Below are 16001 nucleotides of genomic sequence, written 5' to 3'. Positions count from 1 at the left end.
ATGGGGAAGTTGCTGGAAGGTTTGGCTGGCATTCCCTATGTCAAACCATGGCCCGGAAATGGAGATCATTTAGCTAGTAACAAGAATACTCTTCAGAATGTCCAAAAATCAATTAAAAAATTGGAAATTAGAGTGATAATTTGTGCTATAAACAGTGATAATATACATGTGCTTGTGTGTATTTATTTACAGAATAAAAGGGGGTTATATTTTACATTGATATATATTGATTTCTATATTATGCTAGTGTGCCAGTTATTAAAGCTTTTGTCATCACTTACAGACACCATGAAATCTGTACGTGCACACATGAGTACGTCCACACTCACTTTTCAGGTTGTTAATGGGAAGAATACTAGACTATGATGGCTCAGCTATTTCCCAAGCTATGGGAGAATCACAAACTCAGAGTCTCCAAGAATATAAACATAGGAGAATGAATTAAGTGATTTCCTAAGTCCCCTCCACTTTTAAAATTCTTTAACACTATCATCATCCTCATACAAAGGCCATCTACTAAACATGTACTCTAGGCTAGACACTCAGCTAAGCAGTTTCCATAAACAACTAAATGGGATGCTTGCACTAAGCACAGTGGCAGGTGGGAGTCCCACTGAGGAAACTGAGGTTTTGGTGAAGTTTAGTAACAGTCACAACAGAATGAAATGAAGCTAGGTTTGGCTGGACCCAAAGCCTCTGCTCTTATTCACTTCCCCATCCTGCCTCTTTCAAGAGGTACTTTTTGTCTCTCATGCCTCCATTCTCCCACCTCATTCTGTTCCTCCATCCTAGGACTCAGAGCAGTCAGCTTGCATTATAATTACTTGTGAATGAGTCTACCTCCCCTCAACTCAATTACTTGCTATTGAGTCTTCAACAGCAAGAAGCATGTTTCATGCCTCTTCACAGTCCCCTAAGTGCAATATATGGCACACAGTAAGCACTCAATAAAAGTATGTGAAACTGAGCTGCTATGGAATGCAATAATCAAAGAGAAGATGGCAGAGATGGCAAGGAAGACCAAACAGATCAACTTTGGCAGTGATCTGGTCTTTGCTTAACTGTAGGTAGCAAATATGACTAGATGCTTTCACTGTTTCACTGTCTCCTCAAGCTTTTCAGAATTTCTGATTGCAACACTGCACCCACTGAGAAAGCCTGCCTAAAAGATGGAGATTTCTTGAAATACAACATGCGCTTTATTGTAAAGAAGGCTAATATTTGATGGGAAATGTTTATCTTCAAAGAGATAGAAGAACTAATTAAGAAACCAATACTAGCTCCTCTTTCCCAAAAGGATCGACAACATGAAAAAAGATTGATAAGAGTGGAAAAAATGAGAAATACAAAGTAATGACTACATTGAAACCAAAATGAACTCTGCGTATAATAAAGATAGGGCACAGTGTTCACAACCAGGCTGTTGGTGCTAGGGGAATTCCAGTCAAATGGATGTAACATATTTTGTTCCTTCAAGGATCAAAGAAATCAGGCTACAGGTGCCAATCCAAATTCTACTCAATAAACTCTCATATAAAACTTTACATGGATATTGCTTAATTTGATTCAACAGACAAAGTAAGTACTTATGATGTGCCAGGGAAAAGGGGTCTAAATAAGGAATCTTTACTCTTCAACATGTGGACCAAATAAAAAGGCTCTGCATTATGAAATAATAATAATCAAATCTATTCAATGAGATCAGAATCCTCAATAGAAACCTGAAGAAACAGAAAGGGTTCTGGGCACCACATGGAACCTCAACTCCAGAAAGTGAGGGGCCATCAATTGTTTTTTTCCTCCCTTCTCTAATCAAAAGATCAGGGCTTAAATTGCATAAAATGGACTATGACATTTCCCTCTTAATTACCACCCTGGAACAGAGAAAATGTCCTTGCTGTTATCTGACCTTGTCTATGATAGAGAATAGAGATAGCAGAGGACTGATGGTCTACTTAAAGAAAACTGCAAAGAGAAAAAAATAAGGCAAAAATTTTCTGTTCGACATTTCAGTTCCATTTAAGAGAGACAGGGGAGACAATATAGGCACCAAAGGGCAACTGAGAGAACTCTATCAGTCTTCCCAAACAACCCCCCATATACAGGTAGAATTTTAGAAAACCAGTGTGCTTGTTATGCATATGCAGCTCTAAGAAGCGTTTTCTCAAGCTCCTCCCCTTCTACCAAGATTGTCTTCTCTTAGCTCCAAGGCAGAAATTCTGGAGCTGCCATTGCAAGCCAACTTCTGAGAGAAAGATCAAATTACTGTTCTCCAGAAAAGTAGCAGTGGTTGTGGATGAATATTGTTTGTCGTTTACAAGATCAAGGTAAGGGTATATATGCTATGTGCTACATACAACACACACATGTGCTACACATATACCAAAGTGGCCTTACTATATGTTAGGCACCATGCTAGGAATATACAGTATCCCACACATTAAAACTGAAATATATTTTTGCTCTTATTTTTCAGATAAGGGAACTGTGTCTCAAAGAGGTCAATTCGTGCAAGCAGGCAGGCTCTGTGGCACAATGGATAGTGCATTGGACTTCTAGCCTAAATCAAAAGAGAGTCAGAGGTCAGTTCATTCACCAGATTACTTAGTTAGGATATATCCAAATGTCGGTGTGAAGACAAGACCCATGTTTTTTTCATTTCATCAGGCACAGTCAGGAACATAACAGTCAGAGAGCTGGAAGCCCCCCTTGGACAATGAGAGGAAAGAACCCAGACTCATAACACTTTAATACTCAATAGAATATTAGCAATGTATCCCTATGCCTCAAATGGATGCACCAGGAAAATAAAATGACTTCCCCAAATCATTGCCATGACTTAACTTTTTGAAAAAAATAGCTTTATTGACACATGAAATTTACATATAAAACTACATATTGAAAATGTTTATAAGGCCGGGTGCAGTGGCCCACACCTGTAATCCTAGCACTTTGGGAAGCTGAGGCGGGTGGATCACCTGAAGTCAGGAGTTCAAGACCAGCCTGGCCAACATGGTGAAACCCCGTCTCTACTAAAAACACAAAAAATTAGCCGGGCATGGTGGTGGACGCCTGTAATCCCAGCTACTTGGGAGGCTGAAGCAGGAGAATTGCTTGAACCTGAAGGCAGAGGTTGCATTGAGCCGAGATCGCGCCACTGCACTCCAGCCTGGGCAACAAGAGCGAAACTCCATCTTAAGAAAAAAAAAATATATATAACTGTGTGTGTACACACACATGTATGGATGATTCATTCTTGCAGTATATTTGATCAATGATTCTGCTATGGTGTGGTATTCTATTGTGCATTGTCTATACACAAGATGGTGAAAACACAGAGTACAACTCAGCACTGTAGCAAATATACGCATACACATACACCACACTCAAAGGGATCTCACACCAAGAAACATTTCAGATAAAAGTCCTTTATCCTTTGCAAAATATAAAATACCTAGACCTCCTGGAGAGTAGAGATCCTCTGACAATTCCTCAGAAAGCTGGGGCTACTTTGAATACTTTATATCTACTTTAAATAATTTACATCAGCAGTTCTAAAATATGAACCCACAACCATCAGTTTCAGAATTATCTGGGGTCTTTACTTAAAATGCATATTCCTGATTTCCACTTCCAACCATGATAATGGTATTGGACTTGAGCTCCTGTGATAAACTAGATAAGTTATATAAAACATCTGTTTTTTAGGCATTAAACAACAGTCTAAGAAGGACTGAGATCTTTGAAAGAAAGAAACCACACAAGATGAGCCTCACAATTGCTCCAGCTTTTGCCTGGAAGCACTTTCCTATTACCATAAAATGATCTAGAGCCCAAGTAGAATAGTGGTCCCCTGAGCTGTGAAGGCAGGGATCAAAATACAAAAACTACTAAGAAGCAGGAATATGTGGGACAATATAAAAGAAAATAGGGAGAGGCACAGTGTGGACATAGGGATTAGGGGTGCTGGAGGGATAGGAGGGAAAAGACTGCATGGAAATTCACCCTGAGTCCTTAGCTGAGGTCTGGGCTGTAAATATAGAGAGTAAGACTTCACAAGGCCCAGCAGAGACTGCCTGATGCAGGGTTGAGAACTAAACCAGCACTATATACCAGAGGTTATAAATGCTGGCATATGTTGGAGCTCTAGCATAGCCAAAATGGAAAGCTCTTGCTGAGCATCTCAGGCATTTAGCTGGATATTCAGTGTTTCTGTATCAGAAAGGCCACATCACACTAGGAATAAGGACTACACCTTGGAATAAAGGCTGCATTCCTAGGACTAAGTTGAAAACCACAATAGACCCATTTTAACAAAGAATAAAATCAAGCCTAATGACCAGAAGGATATGTCGGTAATTTAACTGTCTTCCAGAATAAAATTTAACATGTTTTCAAAGAAAATGGTAATCCAGACTTCCAACAAAGTATCATCACAATGTTTATCATACAATAAAACTACAGATATAAAGGAGCAGTAAAAATTGAACAATAAAAGAGCAGTAAATAGAAATAGAACCTGAAATGCTTCAGATATTAGAATTAGTAGACAAGAACTTTAAGCTTATTAATATGTTCAAAGGCTTAAACAAAGAGGTAGTCTAATGAGCTACCAGCAAAGAATATTTTTAAAAAGAAGAAGAAAATAGCAGAATTAAAAAGTATAATATCTGAAATGAAAATTTTGCTAAATGATCTTAACAGGAGATTCGAAACTGCAAAAGAAAATGTTATGAACTTGAAGGCAGGTCGACAGAAATTAAAAACAGAGTCTCAGTGACCTGTGAGACAACATCATGCAAGCAGTTTACCATCATGTAAGCAGAGTCTAAGAAGGGACGCAGGAAGAAAATGGAGCAGAAAAACTATTTTATTTCCAATATTTGGTGGAAAAAAATTCAACTCAAAATGCAAATGTCTCAACCTCGGCACTTAGCACTATTGAATTGTAAATTGGATAATTCTTTGTTGTGGGGGCCTGTCGTGGACATTGTAGAACTTTTGGCAGCATCCCTAGCCTCTATTAACTAATTTCAAGTAATATCCTCTCCTATCTGAACTCTAAGCAAAGACAACCAAAAATACCTCCAAACATTGCCAAACGTTTCCTAGAGAACCAACATTGTCCCTGGTTAAAAACTATTGCTGCAGATCCAAGTAACTCAGCAAACCCAAAACAGGATAAATATACAAAGAATCACCTTAGACACATCAGAATAAGACTGCCAATGAGAAAAAGAAAAAGAAAATCTTAGTAGCTGATAGAGAAAAAGATACATTACATATAGCGGAACAAAAATGTCAATAATGGCTAACATTCATCAGAAACAATGGAGGTCAAAAAATAATGAAATGAATTTTTTTAGAGTGCTGATAGAAAAAAATGATCAACCAAGAACTTTATAGACAGCAAAAAATCCTTTCAAAACAAAATTTTATATTAAAAACACAAGAAAATGTGTTGCTAATTGACCTGCATTATAAGAAATGCTAAAAGGAGTTCTTCAGCCTTAAGGGCAATGTTACCAGATGAAAACTCAGATCTGTAGGAAAGGATGAAGTGTACCAGAAATGGTAAATGTCTGGGTGAATATAAAAGATTATGGTTTTCTTCTCTTAATGCATCTGAAAGATCACTGTTGCAAGCAAAAATAACAACATTGTATTGTGGTGTTATTACACAGATGAAAAATATATGACAAAATAGCACAAAAGATGGGTGGAAGGTAAGTGAAATTTTACTGCTATAACATTCTCTTATTTTATTTTATGTATACAGTGATAAGTGAAGAATAAATATTGCAATCTCTGGAGAAACCACATACCAAATATATATATTTACATATATATTTATATATATATATTTACATATTTATTTATATATATATTTACATATATATTTTTATATATGTATTTACATATATATTTTTATATATGCATTTACATATATTTATATGTATTCACATATACTTATATATATTTACATATATATTTATATATTTACATATATATTTATATATATTTATATATATACACACATGCACACACACAAATATACGTACCACATATATATAGCCAAAAAGCCAGAAGAATTAAAATTTCATATTAAAATATATGCTTAATCCTAACAAAGCTGAAAAGAATAGAGAAACTAAAAACAGAAGCAATAGTTAGAAACAAATAACGAGAGTAGACTTAATCCCAATTATATTAATAATTATAATAAATCTAAATAGGCCAGATACTATCACTAAAAGACAGAGATTATCAGACTGCATAAAAAAAACACAAATTATATGCTGTCTACAAGAGATGTACTTTAATTACAAAGTTACAGATAGGTTAATAGCAAAGGATGAGAAAATATTAATCATACAGTAAGCAAAAGAAAGCAGGTAGGCCTATATTAACATGATACAAATTAATTTCAAGACAATATTACAGAGTTAAGGAATAATGTTTCATAATAATAAAGGGTCAATTATTCCATATCATTCTAAATGTATGCACAGCTTCTAAGTATATGAAGCAAAAATGAACAGAAAAGTAGACATAAAGGGACAAACCCACAATCACAAATGCAGACTTTTTAAGAACAAGTAGACAAAACATTGGTATGGGAAGAAAACATTTGAACAACAATACTACATTGCCCTAATTGACATTTATAGAATACTGCAACCAACAACTGAAGAATATACCCTCTTATCAAGTGTTTACATATGCTGGGGCATAAAATAATTATCGACAAATTTCAAAAGGTTAAAAAATGCGTATTTCTGGGTGTCAATTAAGATTCATTGAAGTGCTTTAAGGCATAATGATGAAATTAAGGCTCAAGTCACTTAGCTTGCTAGTAGCTGGCAGGGCAAGGAAACAAATATTGCTCTAACTGCAAATGGTGTGTCCCTTTTGCCATATGCTTGAATAGAGCCTAGACTGGGGAAGATAAGCCAAACATACGAATCACCAGAAAATGCCATCCTTAGTCCAATAAGGCTGTCTGCATTGCCATTGGTCATTCTCTGTTCAAACTCTGCTGTACTATGCTAAAAACTAGGAGCTCAATTACTTGAGAAAAATCATGTTAAAAACTTCTTACAAAACCATATATCAGAGAGCTCAAGGGAGGGAGTCAACCAATATATGCAACAAGGAATCCTGAGATTTTGGAACTGGAAGTACGACTGGTCAAGAAAATCTTCATTTTTGTGTGTGTGTGTATGTGTGCACGTGTGTGTGTGTGCACATGCATGTGTGTGTGATTGCAGTGTTGAGGGGAGGGGAGACAACGGGGAAAAGAGGTAAAAAGCAGAGACATGAATTCCAGTTTCTAATTTATGAAAAAAGGTTTCATTCAGATATAAATATAAACATTACCTATATTTTGTTATATTTTATACATTAAAATACGTTGCATTACACAATAATATCATATATATCTATAATATAGAAGACATAAAGAATGTGGAAAATTTGGGCACACTTAAGGACATACATAAAGAGCATCAGAAAGAAACCAAATGGCTGGGTGAGGAGGATGGAATTGAGGCTGATGAAGTAAAAAAAAAAAAGAAAATCTACAATAAAACCAGACGGGGCCTTGTGCCGTATAAAGACTGCAAAGCAGTATGATTAACTCACTTCTCTACCCCTGAGGTCTACTGAAACCAAAGAAGATGAAATTAAGATAGAGAAGAAAATAAACAAGGGTACCACTGTTAACATTTTGGAGACTATATATCCTTACATTCTTAGTTCTGTTTTTGTGTATACGTACATATACACATTTTGTGTTGTGTGTCCACATACATAGAAATAAAGATGATACTGTGTATAGATTTGGACCTGCCATATTTCCACTTAGCAATGAAATGTAGTCTTCTGAGTCATTAGTATTTTTTCTCTCATATCTCTCACAGTGCTGCATTATAATTATTAGTTGATTTTCTACTGTTTAGACACACCAAGAAGTATTATAAAGTTGCATATAAAGTAGATAAGCATTCTGAGGAGCTTATTTCCAGCCTGTGTATGTCTGTGTGTGTGTGGCAGGCAGGGGTGGTGGAGCGGGGGTGGTGTTGAAGGTTGTTGGAAAGAGGATGGCTTATGGCAGAGGTGATGCCTGAATTGCAGTTTGGATGGAAATGGGCTGAAGGGCATTTTAGTCCATTATTTAGTACAAAATAATGTTGGAGAGCAAGCAAAGGTTAAGAGAACATCATGTCAAGGACAGACATAAAAGTGAAAGGATCATAACTGAGCTCTGATTATAAGCATACTAGGGAACATGCTAGGCTTACCCAGCACTGAAAGATGAGTATTACAGTCTCCCCTAAGCAGATGAGGAAGGGTGGGGCAGGGGTCTCTGAAAAAGAAAGTAATTTTCCTAAGGCACCAACTATAATACATACTGGAACCAGGATATAATGTTGTTTCCTCAGGGAACTTGAGGGTGTGTTAGAGAGGGATGGAAGATGAGACTGGGAAGGTGAGTGCTCCTCAGACCTCAGAAGGTCAAGCTAAAAAGTAAGAACTTTTACCAAATTCTCTTACTCTCTCACACTGAGATATGGAATGACAAAAAAAAAATGGATTATCAGCAAATTTCCAACAAGCTGTTCGCAGAGCAGATTAATATTGCCTGAGACAAGTGGATTTCCCCAGGGATAGCACACTCTTTAGGGCATATTTCAAAAGCAAGTATTCCATCCCAAGCCAGCCGAAGAAAATTTCAAGGAAGTCCTTCAGCATCTAAATTATCAGAAAATTGTATTAGTAGGCACTTCCAATAGGTAGTCTCTAGTAAGCCATGCCAGGCATAAAAATGTTCAATGAGGCTAAGCAAACCCAGTGAGGACACTTCTAAATGCTAACTACACAGGGAGGCAGATACAGTCTGAAGGTGAATCCTAGGAGAAAACCCAAAAAACCCACAGCAAGCATTTGGAGGAAAATCTGCTACCTAAGTACAAAGAGAACCTGCTACTCCTCTGTTTCACTGGTCTCTAGGGCAAAGAAAGCTACCGCTAGCTGTGGGGTCAGCTTCTGGTGTGGACTTGGCTTATGGAGACCTTCTCATAAACATCTGGCCACTACCCTCCCTTGTGGAAAAACCAAACACTGAGCAAAAGTAAAGTCAATGGGAGGGGTTGGCTTCTGTGCTTGGTTGGCCAGACATGGTAGCCAACCTGGATCTGCACTCTACATACAGAAGACATGGGCTAAATCCCAAAGGCCAAAAGTACACCCTTACCTGGTGGGTAGTAGGAGGTTGGTTCCTACCCTCTCTTCAGACTCCTTCCACTCAAAAATTGACTCTCCACGTGTTACTTTTCCCAAAAATTCTCGACTCAATAATAACCACTCCTGGAGAACCAGGAAAAGAGAAAAAGCATTTATTTAGTACTAGCGTGTTGTGATTAAAAGAACCTAGGATTTGCAAACAAGCATACCTGGATTCACAACACTGACTCTCCTTCCTTGCTATCTGTGTAACAGCAGGCAAACTAGTAAATCTCTCTAAGCCTCAGTTTTCTCAACTGTAAAATGGAGGTAGATAATATCCTCCTCCCATGTATACGATGATTAAATGAGATAATGATGGATGAGTATTTGTCACCTAGAAGGCAATCATAAACAATATTTGCCTATGCATGCCTACCTTCTTATTTCTATATGGGAAAGTGGAGGAGATCCTAATGGGCAAAATACACACACACACACACACACACACACACACACACACACGAAAGGGAGAGAAGCACAAAAATGGTCTGCAGCTAGGAACTGCCACAACCTTCCATCAGTTCAGTGGAAAGGCCACTTACTTGCTGTATAACCTTATACAGAGAGAAGGCCTATGATACCTTCCTCATAGAATCATCACAGATATTAAATCCATCATCTGTAAAAGCCCACTCACTGTCTGTTACATTTACAACTTAGTAAATGGCAACTTGAGGTGGAGGTGGATGTGGTAGCATTGAATTAACAACAACATAACTCACAAGGGCTCACCAACTGGGACTCGGAAATATTTTCTTTGGAGATTGGATGGGGATTTGAAATGTATACAGATCAGGCATCTGGGAAACAGTCCTTAGATGGAAATCCTCATATGTAGCCCCATCCTGCTTGAGGTAGGCTTACCAAGCAAAGGTATGTGGTCCCTCCCTGGATCCCATGTTAACTAGCTGTTCTGCCTGCCTTTCTGGCTTAATTATGCTCCAATAATCCTGACAAGATTGGCTGGATTTCGCTGTAAATCATGACAGTGGAAATCCTAAAATAAAAGTAAGATTAATGCTATGACCTCAATCTTGGCATGAGGGCTCATTAATTGCAAATCATGGAGTTAATTGAATTCTAGGCATAGCACTGCTAGCTGGATTAAATTTCCTGAGACCTATTTCTTTAACGACATGAAGATAACTGAAATGCATCAATGACAACTAAGCCAAATATTGGGGGTTGCTAAGGAGACAGATAATTATTTCCCTGGCACACTAGCTGCCCAACCATCAAAAGAGTCGGATGTCATGCTTTGGAGGACTGTCCCTATTATTACAGCCACCCTCCCTGTCTTCTTCATGCTCAAGGGTGTGATGCAACCTCTCTGAACCTCAGTTTTGCAATAATACTTGTTAAGAATGAAATACACACATGTGCATGTATCTACAAGAAGTGCTCAATAAAAAGTAGGCATTATCATCATCCTATCTTTGACTCTTTGCCATCATTCATTATTGTAAGGACCCCTGGAGGGAGGAAAGAGCTGTGTGACTTTCCTTCTGCAGGCTGCACCCTGGTGGGCTGCAGAAATGGCACCACAAATGGCATAGAAAAATCACTGTACACCCAGGGCCTCCCTAAGTTCAAGGCAGCTTCTGTTTCTACTTAGCATCTGGCCAATGCAGGTGCTAGTACAGTAGTCCCCTCTTTTCCATAGAGGATACAGTCCAAGACCTGCAGTCGATGTCTGAAACCACAGATAATACCAAACCCAACTGCCATCAATTGGAACACGTTTCTGTTCATGTCTTCCACTCACAAACTGAAGCCTTTTCCATCTTAATACAGCACTTACACACTGTGGCCATAACATTTGCCGTCTGAGATGTAATGGCACAACTAGCGTGAATTCCCTTTTTCCTTCTTCACAATTTCACAGATAAAAGATTCACTCTTACCATAGATCTATACAACCTCGGAATATTTTTTTTTCCTTTTTTTTTATTAAGTCAGGAACTTTTGCCTTTTCACTTAAAGGGAGCACCCTGCAGCTTTTCTCTGGCATATCCAAGTTGCTGGCATCACTACTCTTGTGATTTGGGGCCATTATGAAGTAAAATAAGGGTCACTTGAACACAAGCACTGCAATAACCAAGATAGTCAATCTCATCACTTACACAACTACTAAGTGACTAATATGCAGTAACATAACACTGGACAAAGGGATGATGCATATCCCAGGCAGGACCAAGCAAGACGGTGCAAGATTTCATCACACTACTCAGAATGGCACACAATTTAAAACGTAATGGATTATTTCTGGAATTTTCATAACACTTTCAGACTGCAGTTGGCAGCAGATAACTGAAACCTTGGAAAGTGAAACCACAGGTAAGGTAGTCTACTGTTTATCTCTTCTCTTTCCTGCAGTCTGGTCTGTGTGGTTCCATCTGCTCTTCGGACAAAAAAATTATATGCATAAATCCTCATCCAACACTGACAGATGAGTATTGCGTCTCCACTACACAGGAGGAAGGAGGAAGACTCTGAAATGGAGAGGAATGTGTATCAGGCAGTGGCAATGGTACATACTAGAGCCAAGATATTATGGTGTTTCCTCACAGAACTGGGTGGTATATTAGAGAGGGGTGAGAGGTGAGACCGCAAAGGTGAATGATGCTCAGATCTCAAAAGGCTTGAAAGTCAAACTAACCTTCAAATGAGTAGATAAAGAAATTTAGAATCACTGGGAAGGGTGAGGGGATGCTTTTGTTGAAAGCTGCAACGCAAAATTGAGAATGCACAAGAAGAGCTTAGCGAGAAGAGAGTGCTTAATTTCTATCTGTATCAAGTATTCAGCATGACACTTACCAGGGTAAGCCATCTAAAAAAGGACACTTAATTGAACTGAATTGAATCCATCAAGAAACCAACCGTTTCTATTCACTTTTAAACCAATTTCAATTGCATTGAAGTGCAGCAAGATGATAACAGCAATAGCCATCACTTATTAAGCACCCTTTGATCCCTGGGAACTAGACTACAAGCTTTATGTCCATTATCTTACTTAATCTTCACAATTATGTTGCCAGGTAAGTTTGATTATCCCCTTTTTACAGAGGAGCAAAGTGAGAACTTGTCTTAGACCATTTGGGCTGCTGTAACAAGGTACTATAAATTGAGTGGCTTATTAAGAACAGAAATGTATTCCTCACAGTTCTGGAGACGAGAAAGTCCAAGATCAAGGTGCCTGCAGATTTGGTACCTAGTGAGGGCCCACTTCTTTATTCGTAGAAGGCCATCTTCTCCCTGTATCCTCCCATGGTGAAAGAGACAAGCAAGTTCTCTGGGGCCCTCTTTTATAAAGGCACTAATCTCGTTCACGATGGCTCTGCCATCACAACCTAATCACCTCCCAAAGGCCCTACCTCCAAATATTACCACATTAAGGATTAGGTTTCAGCATACGAATCTGGGAAAGGAGGGGACACAAATATTCAGCCCACAGCAGGACCCAACACAAAAATTTAGGTCATACAGCCAGGCTCTTCCCTAGGTCTGTCTCACTCCAAAGCCTGTGTTCCACTGACAACATTTTGCTGCCTCCTATTATATTTGTTAAAAGCTTAAAACATAAAAGGAAACAGTCAAACCCAAAAGCACTGCTGGAGAACAAAAAAGGCAGACCTTGGCCTGATGTCTGCTCTGCATTAATCTAAGGATATTTGCAAGAACAGATACCCAGGAGTGGAAAACTGCTATGCATTCATTGCATAGCAATGAAATTAATGAAAACTAGTTTCTAAGGCTTGAACAGGCAGGAGTGGAAAACTACAATCCAGCTATGATCGCGGTCCCTCATACGGACTTGGTCCCACAAAGGGATGATGACAGTGGCTCAAGATGCTCTTTCCTAATTCAGCCTCTTCTTGCTGCCCAGTCCCACCCACCCCACAGGCACACACAGCCTTTAGGGTCAATAGCTGCTGTCTTTGACTCTCATGTTCAAAAGCCACATGCACCAGCATTCCAGGGGTAGTGGCAGCAGAGCACAGAAGGTGGAGAAAGAGCATGAGCCCGAAGAACCAAACTGTAAATATGCTTTCCATCTTCCCCCAAAGAACCACTCTACAGACTTGGAAACCTGCCCATTGTCAAGTCCCTTTGTGGTGTGAAAGCATATCAGTGCTGACAAACCCAGGGTCACAGCCTTTTTTCTTTGAGAAGACTATGGACAAAAGAGCTGATAAGTCATTAGCAGCATCTGTTCTCCTCTGCTGCCTTTTTAGATCCCAGGTAACACAATCAGAGCTCACAGGTGCTGAAATTTCAAAGACAGGCACTAATAACCATAAAAAGGGTCTCCAAAAAATGCAGGTGACAGGCAAGCAGGTGGCTTTCCATCATGAACAATGTGTCCTCTGCAAAATCCACAGAATGGTAAGAATAGGTGGACAGATACATTGCAAGGGTTTGGTTTCCAAAGAAGGAACTAGGGCCACGGCTAGCTTATAGATTGGAAGAAGGCAATGCAGCCCTTTGGTGTCTGGTATCGGTCTTCACATCTTCACCAGGCTCCCGCTGTGTGCTAGGTTCATGCAAGATGCTTCACACACACTGTTTCATTTCACCCTGAAAAGGACCTTGCTAAACAGGCTATCAGTCCCAGTTAGTAGGTGCAGAAATGAGGCTCAGAGAGGTTGCATAACCCGCCCAAGCTAAGGGGTCTGGCAAACAGTGGTGCAAGAGGTTCCCAAGGTTAAATGTCAGCCTAGGTACCAGGCTACGCATCAGAATAGCCTGGGGTGCCTGTTTTAAAAAATGCAAATTTTCAGATTTCTTTCAAATCAGAATCTCTGAGAGTGGAGCCTAAAGTCTACATCTTTCAACACCCCTCAGTAGCTTCTGATAAATAGAAAGTGTAATAACACAGCCACAGCCCTATGCCACACTGTGTGACAGAGGACAGACAGCCCTAAATGAAGGTCAGGCAGAGTCGGGGAGAGAGGCAGAGAAGCTACCATTCTTTGGACACTTTTTTTCTGCCAAATGCTTCATATAGATTATCACACTTAATCATTACAACAACCTGCTGTGGTGGATATTATCATGCCCATTTTATTGAGGAGGAAATTGAGGTTTCCAGTGAAGTTAAATGACTGGATAAAAGTCACACCTCTAAGAAACACTGGGGTCAGAACACAAACCAGATCTGTGTGGCTCTAAATCTCATGCCCTTTCACTATCACATTCTTCCTTACCTCTTTTTGACAGAGTAGAGGTCTCAGTGCAATCGCCAATAGCACATAGATGGCTATAGCTATGGAAGGGCCCAAAGAAGACCTTGCCCAATATGAATCAGGCAGCAGAAATGGCTACATCCTGAGGGAGGCCAGCTCTTCCTCCAGCAGCTACCATTGCTGTTCTGATAAGAGCAGGAGCCTGGACTCACCAAATACAATGTGGCCAGCACAACAGTGGAGCCATCATCCCTCGTCTCTCAGCACTCTTGCATATTGAGAGTCCACTCCCTCCCAGGCAAGGGTCCAGGCATTTGGGAATCTGCATGATCTGACCCATAAGGTTAACCAACAGAGTTCAAGTTCCAAATACCAGTGTGCCCTTAAACATATGGCTTTCCTTCTCTGGACAAAGTCTCTTTCTATAAAATGTGGAGGTGGAATTTGCTGCTCTCCAAGGTCCCATGAACTCTGGGTGACCCCATGACTCATAGAGTCTATATAATGTGAGTATTAAATTGTGATTTGTGCAACTTATTAATGCTACAAGGCAAGGACTGTTAGGAGTATCACCAAACTGGACAAGGAGTCGAAGTATTTGGCTGCCACTAATGGTGACATTGGTGGAACAGAAACATTCAAATCTCCACCATGGCTTCTGTTTTTTATTTTTGCCCCAGAAGCCCAGGGGTGAGGGACTATTATCTAACAAGTTGGCCACCTGCAAGTGCCTTCTTTCCTCTTTCCCTGCATTTGGCACTAATCTCAAGTGACTGCCTGTTGACTGACCACTCCCCAGTTGCCCTTCTTGAAATCTTTAAGCATATGCACATTGCCTGCAAACTCCTAGAAGGCAAGATGGGGTGAGTCAAAGAAGACTCCATACACAGTGCCAAGCACAGGGCTTTGTATGTAGTGGTAGTAGTAGTATTCTAATATTCCGCTACTAAAAATAACAATTGTACCTAAAATCAGCTAAGATTTGAGTCCCTACTATGTATGAGGCATTATTCTAAATGCTTTACAGCCCTATAATGTACACGCCATTACTATCTTGCATTCGTAGATGTAGAAATAGACATAGAGGCTCACTTTCTTGCAGAGGTCACACAATTAATAGGCTAATTGTGGACAGTCTCACATGCCACTGCTGAATGAGAACACAGAGTTGGAGCTGTGTGGCCTTGGCATCAGACAAGATTCGGGTTCGTACTCCAGCAATTTATTAGCTGTTTCTTTAGATAAGCAGCTTAAACCTTTCAGTGCCTGTTCCTTCATCTGTGAAATAGGACAACAACATCCACCTCATTTTTTTTTTCTTAAGAACCCAACATTACACCTGGCCTATTTATTTACTCAGGTATCTATTGAGCTTCTACTGTGTGAAAGGTTCTGTGATAGGTGGTGGGAAAACAGAATAAGAAAGCATAATGTCTGACATCAAGCTGCTCACAGTCTACTGACAGCCAAACACAAATGAAAACAGTATATAAGACCATATGGGAAGGATAATGTGACGCAGAGGGC

At 39.5% G+C, this 16001-nt stretch overlaps 1 protein-coding gene across 3 annotated transcripts in view; it reads right to left on the bottom strand.

Annotated features, from left to right (window-relative positions):
• DNAJC6 (DnaJ heat shock protein family (Hsp40) member C6) overlaps positions 1-16001 on the bottom strand; it is a 151123-nt gene that overhangs the window by 60892 nt on the left and 74230 nt on the right. The window contains exon 2 of one of the 3 annotated variants that reach the window (NM_001256865.2): positions 9257-9369. The exons of the other annotated variants lie outside the window; for them this stretch is intronic. The gene's annotated coding sequence lies outside the window, so the exon portion shown is untranslated. The remainder of the gene's footprint in view (positions 1-9256; positions 9370-16001) is intronic. 3 annotated transcript variants of the gene reach the window in all.

This window comes from Homo sapiens, chromosome 1, assembly GCF_000001405.40.
Source record: "Homo sapiens chromosome 1, GRCh38.p14 Primary Assembly".
NCBI lineage: Eukaryota > Metazoa > Chordata > Mammalia > Primates > Hominidae > Homo > Homo sapiens.
Note: the sequence above shows the minus strand (reverse complement) of the source record. Positions and strands in the feature narration are given on the sequence as shown.